The 21,336-nt window shown below is 41.7% G+C and overlaps 2 protein-coding genes and 1 non-coding gene across 15 annotated transcripts in view, besides 1 other annotated feature; all 3 read right to left on the bottom strand.

Moving 5' to 3' along the window:
* Positions 1-21,336, bottom strand: part of TMEM217B (transmembrane protein 217B) — a 45,964-nt gene that overhangs the window by 20,530 nt on the left and 4,098 nt on the right. The window lies entirely within an intron of this gene.
* The window catches only part of TMEM217 (transmembrane protein 217), a 45,964-nt gene that overhangs the window by 20,530 nt on the left and 4,098 nt on the right, over positions 1-21,336 (bottom strand). The window lies entirely within an intron of this gene.
* Positions 7,483-7,777: an enhancer, noted in NCBI's record as "tiled region #10381; K562 Activating DNase unmatched - State 5:Enh". NCBI's record gives its function as "activates a minimal TATA promoter and a strong SV40 promoter by Sharpr-MPRA in K562 cells {active_cell/tissue: K562}" and the evidence as "EXISTENCE:reporter gene assay evidence [ECO:0000049][PMID:27701403]".
* LOC124901537 (small nucleolar RNA U13) lies at positions 18,494-18,596 on the bottom strand. Its single transcript, XR_007059968.1, has one exon. It is a non-coding gene; the product is annotated as a small nucleolar RNA U13 (small nucleolar RNA).

Below are 21,336 nucleotides of genomic sequence, written 5' to 3' on the forward strand. Positions count from 1 at the left end.
CTCTACCCTGTTGTTATCTCTGTTCCAGAGCCCATGCTCCTGCCCTCCGCGGAATCTTCCATTTATCATTTCAGTTGACCACTCCTTATCTCTTCAAACACCTTCTCTTGACTTCTGACACCAAACTCACCTTGTTTTTCTCTCACCTGTCTGGCAACTCTTTCTCAGACTCCTTTATTAGCTTCCTTCTGCTTATTCCTAAAGGCTAGTCTCCCTCAGTGCACAAACCAAGACTGTTCTCACTTTATACTCTCTTCTTTGGTAACCTCACTGTGGTTCTGCTGCCATCTACACTGAGAACAAATGCAATGTCCACTACACTGGTGACTCCCAATCCAATCTGGTCTTCAGTTTGGAGCTTTAGTTGACATACTCAACGAGAATGCCTCCATTTGGGAGCTCTTTTGGGGCTGCTCAAACTTAGCTTGTGCCAAACTCCCACCCCCACCTACTGTTTCTCTGGTCTTTCTTATTTAAGTAAATGATATTAACACTCTTCTACCCATTTCCCCATGTACCTTCCTCTTGCTCATCCTCAACATCCAAAAAACTCACTAAGTTCCATCAACTCTCCTTCCCACCAATCTCTTGAATCATTATTTTTCTGATCCATCTTAGTCCATTCATGCAATATGTCACAACACCACAGACTGGGAAATTTATAAACAACAGAAATTTATTTCTCAGTTTTGGAGGCTGAGAAGTCCAAGATTAAGGCACCAGCAGGGCTGGCTTTCCCTGCTTTCAGGTGGCATCTTGCCACTGCATGCTCACATGGGAGAAGGTGGAAGGGCAAGAGGCAGCTCTCTGAATCCTCTTTTACGAGGGCATTAATCTCATTCACAAAGTTGGCGCCCTCATGACTTAATCATTTTCCCAAAGGCTGCACCTCTTACTACCATCACACTGGGGTTTAAGTTCCAACATATGAATTTTGGAGGGACATATACATTCTAACCGTAGTACCATCTCCACTGCTATCATCATAGTCCAAAAACCATCACGTCTCCTTTGGACAATTAACCATACAGATGGTCCCTAACTTACTTAAGTCGCTAACTAACGAAGTTACTAACTAACTAACTAACTAAGTCCCTAACTAACTTAAGTCGATGGTTCGACTTAAATTTTTTCCACTTTACAATGGTGCAAAAGTGATATGCATTCAGTAAAAACAATACTTGGAGTACCCATACAGCCATTCTGATTTTCACTTTCAGTATAGTAATGCAATAAATTACATGAGATATTCAACACTTTATTATAAAATAGTCTTTGTATTTTTTTATTAGATGATTTTGCCCAACAGTAGGCTAATGTAAGTGTTCTTAGCACATTTAAGGTAGGCTAGGCTAAGTTATGATGTTTGGTAGGTTAGGTGTATTAAATGCCTTTTTTTTTTTTTTTTTGAGATAGTCTTGCTCTGTCACCCAGGATGGAGTGCAGTGGTGTGATCTTGGCTCACTGCAACCTCTGTCTCCCAGATTTGAATGATTCTCCTGCCTCAGCCTCCCAAGTAGCTGGGATTACAGGCATGCGCCACCACACCCAGCTAACTTTTGTATTTTTAGTCGAGGTGGGGTTTCTCCATGTTGGCCAGGCTGGTCTCGAACTCCTGACCTCAGATGATCCTCCTGCCTTGGCCTCCCAAAGTGCTGAAACTACAGGCGTGAGCCACCACGCCTTGCCACTTAGATGCATTTTTGACTTAACAATATTTTCAACTTATGGGTTTATTGGGACATAACCTCATCGTAAGTTGAGGAGTACCTGTGCTTATGAAGTTGTAATCTTGATATAGCCACTAGTGATGATACAGTTAAGAGTTTGGGAGGAATGGCAGTGAGTGTGTGTGTAGAGGATAAGAAGTCCACATCTGGCCAGATGTGGTGGCTTGTGTTTGTAGTCCCAGCTACTCAGGAGTCTGAGGCAAGAGAATTACTTGAACCTAGGAGGCAGAGGTTGCACTGAGCCGAGATGGTGCCACTGCACTCCAGCCTAGGCGACAGAGTGAGACTCCATCTCAAAAAAAAGAAAATAAAATAAATATCGGTATACACATGTAATTTTGAGATAAAGAGATAAATAGGAGGGGAAATAGAAGAACTGAAAGTGGTTACCTGTGAAAAGTATGAATAGGGATAGGGAAGGAAGAAAAGAGAAATGCTGGTTTTATTATAAGGTTTACATATTAATATTACACACCCATGCACAATTTTAATAAAAATAAATTTATGAAAATATAATTATTTCATGAATTCCTAATAAACCCAGATCATTAAATAAATCCCACTGGCTACCCTTATGCTGGTGTGGCTTTTTAAAAAACACAGTATCTTCTTAACTGCAAAATGGTTAAAGCTGGCAATGTGGAAGGACAGCTGGATAACTCTGTCATAGTCTAAACCATGAGCTAAAAACATTATCATGAGAAGTAGCTGGGGATAGAACAAAGCTTTTTTTACTTGTGAAAATTTCTGGAAATGATATATTACTTCAAATACTACACAATTGGAAGTGATTCCAATTCCATCTTGGAATGTTGGCAACATTTTAAATTGTTTTAAATTAAAGATATCTGTCTTAGACCATTTATGCTGCTATAACAGAACACCACAGACTGGGTAATATATAAAGAATACAAATGTATTTCTTTTATTATTATTTTTTTTTGAGACAGAGTCTTGCTCTGTCGCCCAGGCTAGAGTGCAGTGGTGCCATCTCGGCTCACTGCAAGCTCCGCCTCCCAGGTTCACGCCATTCTCCTGCCTCAGCCTCCTGAGTAGCTGGGACTACAGGCACCCGCCACCACGCCTGGCTAATTTTTTCTATTTTTTAGTAGAGATGGGGTTTCACCATGTTAGCCAGGATGGTCTCGATCTCCTGACCTTGTGATCCGTCCACCTTGGCCTCCCAAAGTGCTGGGATTACAGGCGTGAGCCACCACGCCTGGCCTAATGTATTTCTTATGGTTCTGGAGGCTGGAAAGTCCAAGATCAAGGCACTGGCATTAGTGTCTGGTGAGGACTGCTCTCTGCTTCCAAGATGACGCCTTGTTGCTGTGTCCTCACAGGGAGGAAAGTAGAAGGGCAAGGGGACCTAAACTAGTTCCCTCTAGTCCTTTTATAAAGCACTAACCCATTTTGAAGGAACCCTCATGACTTAATCCCTTCCCCAAAGTCCCTATCTCTTAATACCACCACTATGGGGATTAAGTTTCAACACATGAATTTTGGAGGGGTCAAACACATTCAAACCACAGCAATATCTTTATGTAGAGTTTAAAATATTCATACTAGAAAAATAAAGCTAGATAAATAAAAAATCATTACCATAACAAAACATTGTAAAATAAAGCTGATTTTTATCCTTTCATCCCACTTTAACATCATCGTGTTTGAACTGAAAAAAGTGTGTAGTGTTTATTTTATTTTTAATTTAAAAACAATTTAAAAAAACAGAGACATGGTCTCACTATGTTGCCCAGGCTGGTCTTGAACTCCTGGGCTCAAGTGATTCTCCCACCTCTGCCTCCCACGAGTGCTAGGATTACAGGCATGAGCCACTGTGCCTGGCCATTTATTTTTAAATACTCTTTGTTTTTTAGGCCCTGAACTAAGCATTTATCATTTGCCAATCTGCAGCTCAGTTTAACCCTTTCTGAGTGGGTTATTTTTAGAGTATGAGCATGTGTATTTTTTTGGTGGTAGCATTGCCCTCCCAGGTTCAATCCTGGGGTGGGAGAGTAAGCTAATTAGTTGTGTTCTGAGTAACCAAGGATATCCTGAAAATGCAAGGGAATAATAGGCCATTATAGGGAGGGTATCAAGGTTGAGATCCGCAAATTTGCAAGTCAAATGCCCAGGCTTCAATCTTGGCTTCACCATTTACTGTGAATTTATTCTCTCCAAGTCTCAGTTTGCTCATCTTTAAATTGGATGTGCCAGTACTATTTTTTTTTTTACTAATTTTATTAATTTCTATAACAAATTACCCCAAAACTTAGTAGCATAAGATAACCATTTATTATGTGAATGGATTCTGTGGGTGAGGACTTCAGACAGAGCACAGTTAGCTTAATTTTGTACATTGTGGGGAATTTAGACAGGGCATGTCCAGGATGACTTGCTACTTCTCCTCAAACTTTGTAGCCTCTCCTAGAAGACTCACTCAGATGCCTGGCGATTGCTCTTGGCTGTCAGTTGGAGGCCTCAGTGCCCATCCATGTGGGCTTCTCCATGGTCTCTCTGTGTGGGCTCCTTTGGGCTCCTTCACAGCCTGATGACTGGCTTCTCCAGAATGAGTGTCCCAAAAAGAGCAAGCCAGATGGAAGCTGTATCACCTTTTCTTATTCTAGCCTCAGAAGTCCCATAGCAACACGTTTCCTGGACACTATTCTTTAGAAGTGAGTCACCAAGGCCATATTCAAGGGGAGAGGAATTAGATTCTACCTTTTGTGGGAGAAGTGTTAAAGAATTTGCCAAGATGTAGGGACTTCTGAGTATCTGAGTGTTCACAATCAAAGTTCCCGCATTTGCCAGGTTGCCCAGGGAAACAAAAGTCATCATGACAAGAAAATATTCACAAGTGAATTGACATTCTCTGCCTCCCTCAGTCCTGCAACATTCCTCCTTGCTGAAATGAAGGGCTCTCTGTGTGCACCAAGACCCCATCAAGTCAAAATCTTTATTGGTCAGCCTCTCTCTGGTAGCCCACTGTAAATATCTGACAACACACAACACAAGGCAAGTCGTTTGCAAGAAATTATTGCAAGTCTTGCAGAAGATTCAGGACTTCATGCAGACATTAAAAAGGATATTGGAAAACTGCTAGAATCATATGCAAAGCTTGAATGTAACAGAATTAGACCAGTTAATAACCAGAAAAGAGAAAATCAATAAGAATGTTATAGGCACTTCAGTAAAGAATGGTTTCAGGATGAATAAACTGCTACATATTTGCACAATGGGAGTGTTAAACAGGAGTCAAAAGGAACAACTGTAGCAACATACAACAATATGGTAGAATCTTAACAATGTAATATCAAGTGAAAAAAGTACTAAAGACATACAGTTAAAAACAACCATCTTTCTCTATATATATACACACACACTACACACACATATTTTTAGGACTTTATATAGATGCAAGAAAACTCTAAAACTGTATGAAAAGCAAAGTGAAGGATAATGAGCTCAGAATTCTGGATGATGATCACCTTGGCCAGGGGAGGAAGTAAAATGTGTTGGGGGTACCATACAGCCAGATGCAAATTGCTGACCAGACACTAATTTTATTTTGGACAGGGGATTTGAAGGTGTCTATATATTATTTACAATAACTAATATTTAAAAAGTAAACAAAAGAGAGCCATGCATGGACCAATGAGGGTATGTCATGAACCAGGGATTATGATCAATCTAATTGTATGTATATAAAGTAGAATTAAAAACACTGAAAAAAAAAAACCAAGGATAGTAACATTTACCTCACAAAATTGCTGTGAAGATTAAATGAGTTAACATATTTAAAACATTCAGAACAGTTCCTGGCACATAGTAAGCACTTACACAATATAATTATGTAAGTATTTTTGTTATCATTATTTTTACTTTATGCCAAGGAGTAGCTACTATTTATTATGCATATAAAACTACTATTTATTAAGCTGTGTTGTAGCAGACACCGTTAGCTTCCTTCCCAATACCTATTTCCACCTTCTTTGCTACCAGAAGTCTGCTTTCTCTCAGGATGGCAATGAGCCCAGACCCAGGCAAAATATGTGCTTTTCCAGGTTTTTGCTTGTATCCAGGGTGTTCATGGCACACAGTTCTAGCAAATGACATATAAGCAGAAACCTGCTGGAAGATCTAGGAAGACTTTTGCCTTTCCTGGTAAGAGAAGATGATGTGGCTGGCACCATTCTCACTTCTTCCTTTTTCTTGCCTTGAATGTGGTGTGATGCCTGCAGCCTCAGCAGCTATTTTGTTACTGAAGCAACAAGCATGAAGACAAAAACAAGTAGGCTAAGGATGCCAACATGAAAGGGAGAGACTTACTTTTTACATTTTATTGGTTACTCTTGAGGTTGAGTATTCTTCTAAGTATTGATATATGATTTTAAAAAATCTATGTCTAGGCTGGGCATGGTGGCTCACGCCTGTAATCCCAGCAGTTTAGGAGGCCAAGGCAGGCAGATCACCTGAAGTCAGGAGTTCAAGACCAGCCAGCCAACAGGGTGAAACCCTGTCTCTACTAAAAATACAAAAATTAGCCAGGCATGTTGGCACATGCCTGTAATCCCAGCTACTAGGGAGGCTGAGGCATGAGAATCACTTGAACCTAAGAGGTGGAGAGGTTGCAGTGAGCCGAGATCATGCCACTGCACTCCAGCCTGGGTGACACAGACTCTGTCTCCAAAACAAAAACAAAAGCCGTATGTCTAAATAAGTATTAAAAATTATTTTGATAAGCATACAATAAAAATTCAGTCATGGGCTGGGCACAGTGGCTCATGCCTATAATTCCAGCAGTTTGGGAGGCCAAGGTGGGCATATCACTTGAGCCCAGGAGTTTGAGACTAGCCTGGGCAAGATGGCAAAAACCCATCTCTACAAAACATACAAAAATTAGCTGGGCTTGGTGGCCACGCCTGTAGTCCCAGCTACTTGGGAGGACTGCTTGAGCCCAGGAGGCCGAGGCTGCAGTGAACCATGATCGTGCCACTGAACTCCAGTCTGGGTGACAGAGCAAGACTCTGTCTTAAAAAATAAATAAATAAATAAATAAATAAATAAGTAAATAAAATTCTAAGATATGAGAAAGCATTGAAGCATAGTGTAATTAATGATATTTGTATTTCAGTGGTACCTAAGATAATGATGCATTTTGCAGTTGACGGCACCTTAGATTTACTCAATCATGGTAAGAACTTTTTATTTTCAATTGCTCTCATCAAGTTGACTTGTGATCTCAGTAGAATATGTTGCTGCCAACTCATTTCAGATGGATCTCTTGCAACACTGGGTTAGGGAGGAAAATAACAATGACAACGAACACATTATAAAGCTTTAGAGCCTAATTCATCTATATCGGTTAAGATCCTCCCCTTAAATAGGAGGATCACTTAAGCCCAGGGGTTTCAGACCAGCCTGGGCAACATGGTGAGACCCCAGCTCATTAAAAAAAAAAAAAAAGAAGAATGCATTTGGCTGCAAGGAACAGAGACTCAAACAATAGTAGTTTAAACAACTAGAAATTTATTTTCTTCTTCTAACAGGAAATCTGGCAGTGGCAGCCTAGCACTTGGTCAGTAGCCTCTGGGTAATGTGTCTGGGTGGCTAAGAAGAGGCGAGACAGAAAACTGCTGGGACTTTTTAAAGCCTTTAAGTATGTGTGACTGTTTTGCCCTCTGAACTCTTGTATTAGTCACTATTGCTCTGTAACAAATTACCTCAAACCTTAGACACTTATGATATAAAACATTTATTATCTCATAATTTCCATGAGTCAGGAATCCAAGAGTAGCGTAGGTGGGTGGTTCTGGTTCAAGGTTTCTCACAGGGCTGCTGTCAAGCTGTTGGCCTGGGCTGGGGGCCATCTAAAGGCTCTACTTGTGGGAGGGAAGTTTCATCCAAGCTCGCTCTCTCTGACTGTTGGCAGGAAGCCACAGTTCTTTCTTGGCTGTTGGCCAGAGAACTCAGTTCCTCACCTCCTGGGCCTTTCTATAGTCCACTTGAATTTCCTCATGACATGGCCACTGGCTTCCCCCAGAGTAAGTGATGAGAGAGAGAGAGAGAGAGACCAAAATGGAAGCTGCACTGTCTTAGTAATCTCAGAAGTGATATCCATCACTTCAGCTATTTAATTGGTCACACTCACTGACCCTGCAGGGGACTATGGGGAGAGGACAACATAAGGGTGTAAATACCAGGAGGCCAGGATTATTGAGGCAAACTTGAGGCCGGCTATCACATCTCTATGTATGTATACATGTATGTGTGTGTATTTGAGAAACATGATTAATTTAAAACAGAAAAATAAATTTAAAAAAAGACATAAAAACAAAACATCAAATGGTTGTTACTAATTCACTCTTCCATCAAAAATATATGTACCTATCTGTTTTAGCACACATTTGCTATCATTTGGTATTACTATTTTAAGATTCTATTTTGATTTATTCTCTTCATTTAACCTAGTAGTAGGTGAAAATATTTTAATTTTTGTATCTTATTGATTATTCCTAAGGTTGAACATTTATGAAGTATTTGTTAACCAGTTTTACTGACCTTTTTGCAAGTTATGTCTTTACTTAATATATTAATGTATCAGGATATTAGCATTTTTTCAATGTGCATGAGTTCTATATATAATAAAAGTATTACTCTTTTTTTTTTTTTTTTTGAGACAGGGTCTTGCTCTGTCTCCCAGGCTGGAGTGTAGTGGCACAATCTTGGCTCACTGCACCTTTGACCTCCTGGGCCCCAGTCTCCCAAGTAGTTAGAACTACAGCTGCGTGACACCATACCTGGTTAATTTTTTTTTTTTAGAAACGGGGTCTCACTATGTTGCCCAGGCTAAAGGTGTTACTCTTTGTCAAAGAAAAAAAAGGTGGCTGTCTACGTGGTGGGGAATATGAAGACCCTTCACTCCTCAGCGGCAGAGCTCCAAGGAGGGAAGCAGGACCTCAAAAGCGACATCTCAGCATTGTACCTGGAGAGGGGACTGGACCCTGAGCACTAGGGATTCTGTCTTCCCTCCTCCAACCTCAGTAAGGATTCCTACAACTCATGTGCGGCTAGAAGCAGGTGCTGGCAGGATCCAAGGTCCCCATTCTTGGGCTGGCATGAGGCAGCTGTCAGCACCCCCAGTGATGCTACAGGTTTTCTGTTCCAGGTTCTACATCTGGATTCTGGGTCATCCCTGGGAGCCAGAGGGATCCCCAGTGATAAGAGAGATTGAATTTTTTTCTAGTCTGGCAATATCCAGGCCAATTTAATTAGATTTTTAAAATACAAATGGACATTTTGTATATATATAAGCTTGAATTCTTAGAGACATACATTCTATATTTTCTTATTTAAAACTCCATTAACTTTTTAAAAAAGTTATTGAGATAATTTATGACCTCTTCTCACTCCTTTTCCTTGGCTTTGTATGTAACCGTGTAAATTTGCACTGTAACTAAACACTAACACAAGAGATGGCTTTATCGCGTTGTCTTTATTTTCAAAAAGTAATATGAAGTCTGTTTTGGCCTGCTTCCTCAGGGAGTTAGGGAAAAATTCGATCTCAATTTTTTTTTTTTTTTTTTTGCCTGCTCTTTCCCTGCCCCTTGATGGAGTCACATAGAACCCCCTGAGTTCACCCAATCTTGGAATCTGAGGGAAGAGTTCTAGACTTCAAGACAGTGTGGTCACTGTGAAGGGCTTGATGTCCAGACTTCAGTGGTCCCACTGCTCATAGCCCTGGAGACTATGGCTTAGAGCTCAGTCCCCAGCCAAGTGTCCACTCAGCTAACCCATCAAACATTCTGCCACTCTGGGGTCTGGGAGAGAGTCAAACACAGGCCCCCACGGTGGGCAGAACCTGTACCTCTCTATTCCCCCCAAGGGAAGGAAATTCCACATGCTGTAGAAAGCTGGGAACCATTCTATTCACCCTCAACTTTTCAAATCAGCACTCCCTACTCATCCATATCATCTAGATCTTTTCTTTGCCTTTAAGAGCCTAGATTTTCCAAAACAAAAGTTCTTTAACTCTCTGAGTGGGGAAGAGATGGGCAGTCTTCTTAAGCCTACAAAGAGAAAAGCCTGTCATGCTTTGGTGGTGAATCAGCTGACAAACAGGGAAACCAGCCCCAGCTTGGAATGAGGTAATTCTGACAGTAAATCACACTACTTCATACAAAGCCCTCATGATCTGACTGGGACCCAACTTTCCAGGGGTATTGCTAAGCATTCCTTCTCATGTATCTAATACTCCCACTTCCTCAAATATTTTTTCTCCCCTTCTTCACCTGCTCATCTCTCAAGGTATTCAGATCCTTAAAAAGGTGTCAGGGCTCTAGGTTGGCATCTGTAATTCCTTTGGCCTTACTTTTGTGGTCATAAGCTGACTGCCCCAGTGACTCACACCAGTATCCCAGGCAGGAGTGTGCCAGTAAGCTCTCTTCCATGTTTGTCTCTTTCATAGGAAGTAAAACATTTCCCAGAAAACCCCTAGCAGTCTTCTTCTCATGGCTCATTGGTCAGAACTGGGTCACATGGCACATGTAGCTGCAGGAGAGGCTGGGAAAGCAAGTTTCTGGCAAAGTTGAATGGGATCGCCATAACTTGTTTAGGTAAATTATGATTTATGCCCACACTGTGAACACAGTTGCCCTGCCCCTACAAAAAAAAGAGCCCCCTTAAAAAAGAATATGGAAGGAAATAACTAATAAAGTCCACCACGGAGATGTTGTCCCATTAATTATTCCATCTTCTTTAATTTGGCAAGGGCTATTACTCTCTGTTTGCCCCTTCTTCCACTCTGAAACAGGGCGTTTAGTTATAAATTCGGTTGGCCAGAATAAGGTTTACGTTTTCCAGCTTTCTGTGCAGCTGAGTGTGGTCATGTGACCAAGTCCTGAGAATGGATTGAAAGGGGGAAAAAAATGGAGGAAACCACCAGGTATTGAAGAGAAAGGTCATGTTCTCCCTGTCCTTCTTCCCAGTGTAATTGCCCAGTGGGTTCTTCCTGCCTGCTACACAGACAAAACCAATTCACTGAGACCATGACACTGCAGTAAAGAAAGAGTTTAATTGATATGAGGCTGGCCATATCATATGGGATATGGAGTTATTACTCAAATCAATCTCCCCAAAGGCTCAGAGGTTAGGGTTTTGTTTTGTTTTGTTTTTTGAGACAGAGTTTCTCTCTTGTTGCCCAGGCTGGAGTGCAATGGCATGATCTCGGCTCACTGCAACCTCCGCCTCCTGGGTTCAAGCGATTCTCCTGCCTCAGCATCCCAACTAGCTGGGATTACAGGCATGCACCACCACACCTGGCTAGGGTTTTTCGAGGATAGTTTGGTGAGCAGAGGACTAGGGAATGGGTGGTGCTGACTGGTGGGGAATGCCATCATAAGGATGTGGAAAACTCCTTGTGTGCTGAGTCTGCCTCTGGATGGGGGGGTGCACAGGACCGGTTCAGTCAGGAGCCAGGAGCCCACATGGAGTCAGCCAGTCCTCAGAAATGCAAGTCTGAAAAGACGTCTCAAAAGGCCAATCTTAGGTTCTACAGTAGTGATGTTATCTACAGGGGAACTGGGGAAGTTACAAATTTTGTGACCTCTGGAACAGTGGCTGGTTATCATTTAACTCCACCTACATTTTAGTAGAACTCAGGCCCCTCTCATAATCCTAACCTTGTGGACTTTTATTAGTTTTACAAAGGTGGTTTAGTTTTGGGAAGGGCTATTGTCATCTTTGCTTTAAGGTTAAAATGTAAACTAAATTCTTTCCAAAGTTTGGCTTATGCATAGGAATGAACAAGGAGAATCTGGAGGTTAGAAGCAAGAAGGAGTCAACTGTGTCAGATTTCTCTTACTGTCGTAGTTTTGCAAAGGCAGTTTCACCAGAGGCTGAAACCCCTATGGGAGAAAAACTGTAAACTTCTTTCACATGAGGGAGAAAAACCGTAAACTTCTATTGTGTCTAAAGCACTATTATTTTCCAGCTACACTTATAGCCTAACAAATACAACTGCCTCCAATCCTTGGCCTATAAACATGTTGAAGTCTCGTCTACCTCAACTTCTCCCTTGACCCCATGTTTCTCTCTAATTTACTTTCAGTCTTTCTCTGTGTAAGTCAGAGCAAGCAACAAGTGCCAACTCTTGGCTGATTTAAGCAGAAAAACCATGGCTCATAGACTTGTGGAGAAATCTGGAGAATCATATGTGTGTTGGCCGTATATTGTCACAATAACATCACATAAACAACCATAAAACCACAATGGCATGTAACAATGGACATGTATTTAATACACAAGTTTGTGAGGTTCAGTTTATCTGGGGCTGGGCTGGGCTGAGCTGAGCTGATCTCAGCTGGACTCGCTCAAGTGTCTGAGGTCAACTGTTGGTTGGCCAGGCAATTTTGTTGATTTTGGCTCAGCTAATTCATACGTCAAAGGCTCAACTGGCTGTTGGCTGAACTAGGATGGCCTCAGCTGGGATAACTTAGGGAGACTTGGCCTAGTTCCACATGTTTTTCATCATCCAGCAGGCTAGCCTAGACATGTTCTCATGGCAATGGCAGAGAGCAACAGTGACAGCAAGCCAATCACACAAGTGCTTTGCAAGCCATGGCTTGGGTAATGTTTACTAACATCCCATTGACCAAAGTAAGTCAAAAGGGTGAGCCCAGTCAGAATGAGGAAGTCCAACAAGATGAGATCCTCCAGTGAAGAATTAAGATCGTGAATGCAACCAATCTACCATACTATGTTCAGAGGTTTTTCCTTACAGGGCGGTAGGTAGCCCCAACATCATAACACAGAGCTGGGTCACTGAAGACACTGCCACTGCTGCTAATGAGCATTTGACTCCATAGGTACACTGAGAGGCTCAGCACCAGATCCTGAATGTTGCTGTTGCCACAGCTATTCTCCCAAACTGGGGGTTGCTGCCATGCTGGCATTGCCCATTAGTGGAATGGATTCTGTGCTGCTTCTGCTTCTTTGCATCACAAACTCCTCCCGATTCGAAGTCTAGAGTGGGTGCATTTTATTAGCAGAGCCCACAACATGTGCCATGACTTAGTTCACAGGAAGGTTGGGAAAATAAGTAGCTGGCATTTTCAGCTATAATACTAGGAGGTGGGCTCTGCTTCCCAATGAGTTTCATAGAGTGGGAAATTCTCCGTATGTGGGAAAGGGATTTATATCATGGGCAGCAAAAACACCAACACAGAACAACAGTGACAATAAGGAAGAGGAGGAGCAGGAGGAGGAGGAGGAGGAAGAGCAGGAGGAGGACGAGGAGGAGGAGGAGATGGAGGAGGAGATCTACTAGCCTCTCATTTTCTTTTCTTTTCTTTCTTTCTTTCTTTCTTTTTTTTTTTTGAGAGGGAGTTTTGCTCTTGTTGCCCAGGCTGGAGTGCAATGGCGCAATTTTGGCTCACCGCAACCTCTGCCTCCCGGGTTCAAGCGATTCTCCTGCCTCAGCCTCCCGAGTAGCTGTAATCACAGGCGTGCACCACCAAGCCCGGCTAATTCTGTATTTTTTTTAGTAGAGAAGGGGTTTCTCCATGTTGGTCAGGCTGGTCTCGAACTCTTGACCTCAAGTGATCCACCTGCCTCGGCCTCCCAAAGTGCTGGGATTACAGGCGTGAGCCACTGCGCCCGGCCAACAGGCTCTCATTTTCTTGACAGCTAAGTTTCTTGAAAGCGTATTCTTGGCTCACTTTTCTCTTCTACTTCTCCTCTAATTCTCTCCTGCAGTAATCAGCTTTTGCCACAACAATGATGCAAAATTCAGTGGCTTAAAACCACAAGCATCTATTTTTCTTATTCAAGCTTCAGGCTGAAGGTTGCCTGGAGTGGGTTCCAGGCTTCAGTCTGGATTTTTGTCTGCTCCCACATGTCTGTTATCTTCCTTGGGCCAGTAGCTCCCCAGGGCATGCTCTTCTCATAGTGCAGGCATGGGAGTGGAAACATATGATACTTCTTGAGGCAAACTGTTACTTTTGCTCACATTCCACTGGCCAGAAGTCTTGCAGGGAAATATACTCCATCTACTCTCATGCACTGCAAGAGGGAGTGAAAAACTGACAATAATCTGGTCTACTTCTACTCTTCATCTGGCTTCTGACCCTGCTGTGCCATTAGGGTCAACTCACAATTGCCAAATTAAATAGACATTTCTCAGGCTGGGCATGGTGGTTCACGTCTGTAACCCCGGCACTTTGGGAGGCTGAGGCGGGAGGATCACTTGAGCTCAGGAGTTTGAGACTAGCCTGGGCAACATAGTGAGACCCTATCTCTACAAAATAATTTTAAAAATTAGCTGATGTGGTGGCACATGCTATGATCCCAGCTATTCAGGAGGTTCAGGTGGAAGGACTGCTTGAGCATGGGAGGTCAAGGCCGCAGTGAGCCATGATTGTGCCACTGCGTTCTAGCCTGGGCAACAGAGCAAGACTCTGTCTCAAAAAAAAAAAAAAAATTCTCAGAAGATGGGGAGACAGCCAGGTGCCGGGTCCCGCAGTACCTATCAGGCATGGTTAGGAGTTTGGATTTCATTCTAAGTGTAGCAGAAGCCATTTAATAGATATGTGACTAGAGTGGTCCTTCTACAATGCAGATCTGGTCATGTCATGTCCCAGCTTAAACTGGCAATGAATGTCCCATTGCCTAGAGGAAAAGGTAACATAAGACTTATATGGCCTTAGAAGTCTACTATGATAGACCCCTGCTGCAGTATCTTTTGTCCCTGCACACCATTCCTTGTACTCTTTGGTCTTACCATGTAGAGCTACTTATGGTTAATTTTAGTTTGGATTCTCCAAGAAGCTGACCCTGAGACAAGGATTTGAGTCCAAGTAGTTTATTTGGAGGTGACAGAAACACGAGTGGGGAAAGAGGTAGAAGTGATATAGGGGAAGGAAGGCAGTCAATAAAGGGCGAACTTTTTTACTTTTTTTTTTTTTTTTTGAGATGGAGTCTCGCTCTGTTGCCAGGCTGGAGTGCGGTGACGCGACCTCAGCTCACTGCAACCTCTGCCTCCCGGGTTAAAGCAATTCTACTGCCTCAGCCTCCCAAGTAGCTGGGACTACAGGTGCGTGCCACCACAACCAGCTAATTTTTGTATTTTTGGTAGAGATGGGGTTTCACCATGTTGGCCAGGATGGTCTCGATCTCCTGACCTCGTGATTCACCCACTTCGGCCTCCCAAAGTGCTGGGATTACAGGCATGAACCCGGCAAGGGCAAACTATTAAGCCAACTACCACAATGGACAACAGGAGCTTAATCCTGTGAAAAAAACTCTGAGAAACACACACCTCAGAATTATCCCCTGTAAGTGTTGAAGGAGCTTGGGTGTTTACCAACTCCTGAGAGTCAGTCACTAGTTGAGGGCTGCTCCCAGGAGGAGTTAACTCTTAGACATTTCCAATATGCCATGAGTGTGAACAGCATGGTTTTCCATAGTTCTCGGGAGATGGGGGAAGAGCCTTCAGGCACATGAAGAGGATGAGGGATGTGGGTGAGGTACTGACAGCATCTCCTACAGTTTCTCATATGTAATTTCTCCTTGTAGACATCCATAGTTCCATGTAGGTCTCATTCTTCTGCCTAGGATGCTTTTCCCTGCCTCTTTACCTAGTAAAATCACACTCATCTTTCAAGGCCTTCCTCAGCTTCCCAATCAGAGAGGATCATGCTCCACTCTGTGTCTTCTTAGGACATATTATAGTATACACCTCCATTTTTATCACTTGTCATGCTGCTTTACTTACTAACCAGACTCCTCTACTAGATTATACACTTGTTGAGGACAGGGGCTGTATGTTTACAGTGCTTAATATAGTTTAGTGCCAGGAATACAGTAGATGCTCAATAAAAGCTAGTTAGAAGAATTAATTTCTATCTACAGTGTGTGGCAATGATCTGGTGCAGTGCTGCATTGAATTGAGGTCAACCTGAGGCAAAATCATATGTTTTTACCCCCTTTCTCACCTTCATGGCATTCCCCTCCCTTCACTCACCCAATACCTTGCTCTTCTTTCTCTTTAGCCTAATATCAAAATCTGCTTCTAGTTACTTCTCTTACATTAAAGGAGCACAAGAAATAGGAAACCTGGGTTGCTGTTCATCTAGCTTGAGGGTCCTCAGGCAAGCCTCTTCCTCTCTTTGAGCTTCAGTCTTCTCATCTGTAAAATGATTTTCAATGTTCCTGCCAATTACTAGGAGTCTCTTTAAGAATATCTCTATAAGGATGGCGAACAAGGAACTGGCAACAGTGGTTGCCTCTGGGGAGCAGAAATAGGTGGCAATGGGCAAAAAGTTGTGAGGGAGATCAACTTTTTCTTTATATCCTGCATGAGCTTCCTAGGACTTCTCTGCAACAAATAACAACAAACATAGTGGCATAAAACAATAGAAATTTGTTCTCTTAAGGTTCTGGAGGCTAGAAGTCCTAAATCAAGTAAACTCATGCTTCAAAGTCTCTGGCAGAGAATCCTTTCCTGACCCTTCTGGGTTCTGGTGGCTCCAGGTATTCCTTGGCTTGTGGCTGCATCACTCCAATCTGCCTCTGTGGTCACACTGCCTCCTTCTCTTCTGTCTGTATCTTCTCTCATAAAACAACACTTGTCATTGGATTTGAGACCCAGCCAAGCAGTCCAAGATGATCTCATCTCAAAATCTTTAACTTAATATCTGTTAAAGATCCTTTTTCTGAATAACATAACATCCACAGGTTCCAGGGATTTTAATGTAGACAAATATTTTTGGGGGCCACAATTAAGCATATCCATTTGTAGATTTTGAATTTGTGCCATGCAGAAATTTATGGCAATAGAAAGGAAGAAATGAATATTTCTTTTCATTCTTCTTCTTCTTCTTCTTCTTTTTTTGAGGGGGGAGACAAAGTCTCACTCTGTTGCCTACGTTGGAGTGCAGTGGTGCAATCTTGGCTCACTGCAACCTCCACTTTCCAGGTTCAAGCAATTCTCCTGCCTCAGCCTCCCAAGTAGCTGGGACTATAGACACGTGCCACCATGCCCAGATAATTTTTTTGTATTTTAGTGGAGACGGGGTTTCACCATGCTGGCCAAGCTGGTTTCGAACTCCTGACCTCAAGTGATCCACCCACCTCAGCCTCCCAAAGTGTTGGGATTACAGGTGTAAGCCACCGCACCCAGTGGAAGGAAGATTTCTATGTGACTGAACAGAGACTAAGATTTCTACTTTTCTGTTTCCTGTTCAACCAAATTTTGTCCTTCCCTTAGGATCTGACTTTGAACCACCTTTTCCCTCCAGTTTTGATTTACTGGTGAAACCATGTTATAGGAAACAAAAATGGAACTCTCATCCCATGTGGTTGGAAGTGTAAAGTAGTATGACCACTTTGAAAAACAGTTGGGCAGTATTTTGCAAAGTTGAACTTATGCATACACTCCAGACCACCAATTCCACTTCCATGTCAACAACCTAGAGAAATCTTTCTAGTTGTTCACTTATGCAGAAGACACACATAAGAAAGTTTGTAGCAGCAGAGTTCATAGTGGCACAGAATGTGAAACAACCAAATGTCCATCAGTAGTAGCATAGATAAAATATGGTATTATAAAATGGACTATTACAACAGTGAAAATTAGTGAACTGTAGCTGTACTCATCAACATAGGTAAATATCAAAATCATACTATTGTCTAAAAGAAGCAGGCAACAGAAGAATAGATGTATACAATATTATGTTACTTAAGGTTACAAACATAGGTAGAAAATATAAAAACAAGGGAATTATTAATACAAAATTCTGCAGAGTGGTTACATCTGAAAGAGAGAGAAAAGGGGAATGCCCATAGGAAGGGACCCCTAAGAGGCTTCTAAGGTATTGGTAATATCCTGTTTTATAGCATGGGGAGTGGGTACACGAATGCAAATGTTATTAATCAAACTGTGCATATTAGTTTTATACATTCTCTTGTGTGTATGATATATTTAGCGTCCCATGAAAAAATTCTACTATAGGTGAGGATGTGGAGCAATGTAAACTCACACTCATTGCTGTGAGGATAAGTTGGAAAAGCCATTTTGGAGAACATTTTGCAACATTTAGTAAAGTGGAAGTTGTACATGTTCTGTGATTTAGCAACGCCTTTCCTAGATATTCCTAGGTACTGTACCTTAAAGCAGTGCTTTTCAAACATGCTGATCACGACCTCTTATTGAGAAGTACATTTTACATCACAACCAAGTATCTCTCTCAGGCGTGCGTGTGCACGCACACACACACGTGTATGTATGTGTAAGTGTAAAAAAGCTGGGAAAAATTTTTGCTAAACAATGCCCATATTACATGCAACACATTCTGATCTTTTCTATTTCTGTCTATTCTATTTCATTAAAGGTCCCAACCTTTAAGTTTACTTTAACTCACTAGTAGTTGATGCTATGGAGTGTTTGTGTCCTCTCAAAATTGGATTTAGACACATATGTTGAAATTAATCACCAATATGATGGTATTACGCGGTAAGGTATTTGGGAGGTGATGAAGGTAGATTACTGCCCTTTTAAGAGGGGCTCCAAAGAGCTGCCTGACCCTTTCCACCATGTGGGGACACAGCCAGCAGGTGTTATCTATGAACCAGGAAATGGGCCCTCACCAGAGACCAAATCTGCTGGCATCTTGATCTTGTACTTCCTAGCCTCCAGAACTGTGAGAAATAAATGTCTGCTGTTTACAAGCTACCCAATCTATGATATTTTGTTTTTTATTTTTTCATGTCAGACAGGTAATGTGCCGACAGGAAACAAGGTTTGAGGGAGGCACATCTCACATATGGGAATGAACACCCACTCATCTTGCTTACAAACTGCAAAAGGACTGACCTATGATATTTTGTTATAGCAGCCTGAATGGACTAAGACAGTTGAGAAACTATAATTTGAAAAAAACTGCACTAGAGAAAAATTTCCATGAGATAATGTATAAAGAATGTTGAATGAGCAATGCTCAAAATAAAAATAACAGGAAATGAGAATTGAGGAATATTCACATAAGGGAACGATATATTGCAGTTAAGATGAGTAAACTAGAGCTCAATGTATTAACAGAATGTTGAGTGAAAAAGCCAGTTGCTGAAGCATATGTACAGTATGATGTTATTTATAAAGTTTCAAAACATGAAAAACATGTTGTTTATGGATACACACATATGTAATAAAACTCTAAAACATGCATGGGAATGCTGAACATGTAACTCAGGATCGTGGTTTCCACTGGAGAGACGGAGGGGAATGAGATCAGAGAGGAACAAAATGGAACTTTAATTATATTTTAAGATTTTTTGTTTATTAATCTTTTTCTTATTTGTTCTTTATTATTTATTGCAGGAGATGGCAAATTACCAATGATGGGCCAAATCTGGTATGCTATTTTTATATGACCTAGGAGATAAAAATGGATTTTACATTTTTAATTTTTTTTATGAGATGGAGTTTCACTCTTGTTGCCCAGGCTGGAGTGCAATGGCACAATCTCGGCTCACTGCAACCTCCACCTCCCAGGTTCAAGCAATTCTTCTGCCTCAGCCTCCCGAGTAGCTGGGATTACAGGCATGCGCCACCATGCCCAGCTAATTTTGTAATTTTAATAGAGCCAGGGTTTCTCCATGTTGGTCAGGCCGGTCTCGAACTCCTGACCTCAGGTGATCCGCCTGCCTCGGCCTCCCAAAGTGCTGGGATTACAGGCGTGAGCCACTGCGCCTGGCCTGGATTTTACATTTTTTAATTGTTGAAAAACTTGAAAGAAGAATAATATTCCATGACATGTAACATAAAGTTCAAATTTCAATGTGGATAAAATAAGTTTTATTATTACACAGCCCCGAGAGCTTATTTATTGTCTATGGTTGTTTTCACACTACAATGGCAGAGATGAATAGCTGCAAGAGAGACCATATGGCTGGCAAAGCCTAAAAATATCTACAATCCTGCCTTTGATACAAGAAGTTTGTCAACCCCTGGTTGACATACATACATACATGTATACATACATAACATACATATACATGTATGCATATATATATGCACACACACATGCATATATATGTCAACATGTATATGTTGTGAGGGGTGTGAGGGGTGTGTGTGTGCACGTGTACGTGTATGTGTGTGTGTGTGTGTGTATGTGTGTGTATATATATATATATATATATTTTTTTTTTTTTTTTTTTTTTGACAGGGTCTCACTCTGTCACCCAGGCTGGAGTGCAATGGCACAATCTCGGCTCCCTGCAACCCCCGCCTCCTGGGCTCAAGTGATCCTCCCACCTCAGCCTCTGAGTAGCTGGGACCACAGGTGTGTGCCACCACACTCCACTAATTTTTTGTATTTTTGATAGAGATGGGGTTTTGTCATGTTGCCCAGGCTGGTCTCGAACTCCTGAGCTCAAGTGATCCACCTGCCTCAGCCTCCCAAAGTGCTGGGATTGCAGGTGTGAGCTACTGTTACCCAGGTGATGTATATTTTATAATATTAAAAAACGGTAACATTAAAGAAAAGTTCCAGAAGTACCAAGATGTATATAATTCTACCCTCTACCAAAATTTGCTTAATTTTTCCACGTTTTCTTCCAATCTTTGACAAAACCCATATATTCTTATTGAAATCATGCAAAGATATTTTATATTCTACCTTTTCCCTGCTGTACATTTCATACACCTTTTTGATGTGCTATGTAGCATTCAAATTTGCCCTCTTTAATGGTATAACATGGTTCAAGTTTATAAACTGCACACCATAATTTACATAACTTCTTCTCATGTTTAAATCTTCATATTCTTTTCATTTTCCCCTGTTTATTATTGGTTGCAAGGCAAAGAATATCTTTGTACACAGAGATTTCCCCCTTTCTTCTTGCCAGGTATGGTGACTTCTTTTCTTAGAATAAATTCTTAGGAATGAAATACCTAGTTTTCCCTTCACCCCCCAAATTCTAAAAACTTTCTCTTCCTCTCTTTATTCCTATAACCTCTTACTTTTTCAGTCTTTTTGCTTATCCCCTTGCCTTCTCTAATATAACTGATCTCTGCCATTGGCTCTAACAGTGGTTGTTTAGATACTATAAAGCTCTCTTGCTGTTAAATCCCAGCTTGACCTCACTATCTCTTAGGTGGCCCAACATTGCACAGTGCATTGTGAGGGCTGCTTCTTGCTCTCATTTCTTAACCCTTCCCCTCATCACAGTGTCTACTTCCTTCCTTCCACTCCACTCCTTCACTAAGGTTAAAGTCTGCCAGGGATCTCTCTGTAAGTCCAAAGGCTTTTTTCTCTATTTTTATCTTCCCATTGGAGCTCCTGTCCTGAAGTGACTTTCCTCCTATAGTTCTTCAGGCCTTTCTCTTTCCTTTTCTCTCCCTACTCAAGGATTATCTCTTTCATAAAACTTTCTCTAAGGGTTGGGATATGCCTACCTCTTTTGAGTCCACAGTCAACCCAGGCATATCTCATCCCTTAACTATACTTTGCCACATTTTAAGTTGTTTAACCCTCTTTTGAATGAAGATGAAGTTGAGGGGGGGAAAGTAAAAACTTGCAGAAGCCTCTACTTACAGTTTCAAAAT

This window comes from Homo sapiens, chromosome 6 (assembly GCF_000001405.40).
Source record: "Homo sapiens chromosome 6, GRCh38.p14 Primary Assembly".
Taxonomy (NCBI): Eukaryota; Metazoa; Chordata; class Mammalia; order Primates; family Hominidae; genus Homo; species Homo sapiens.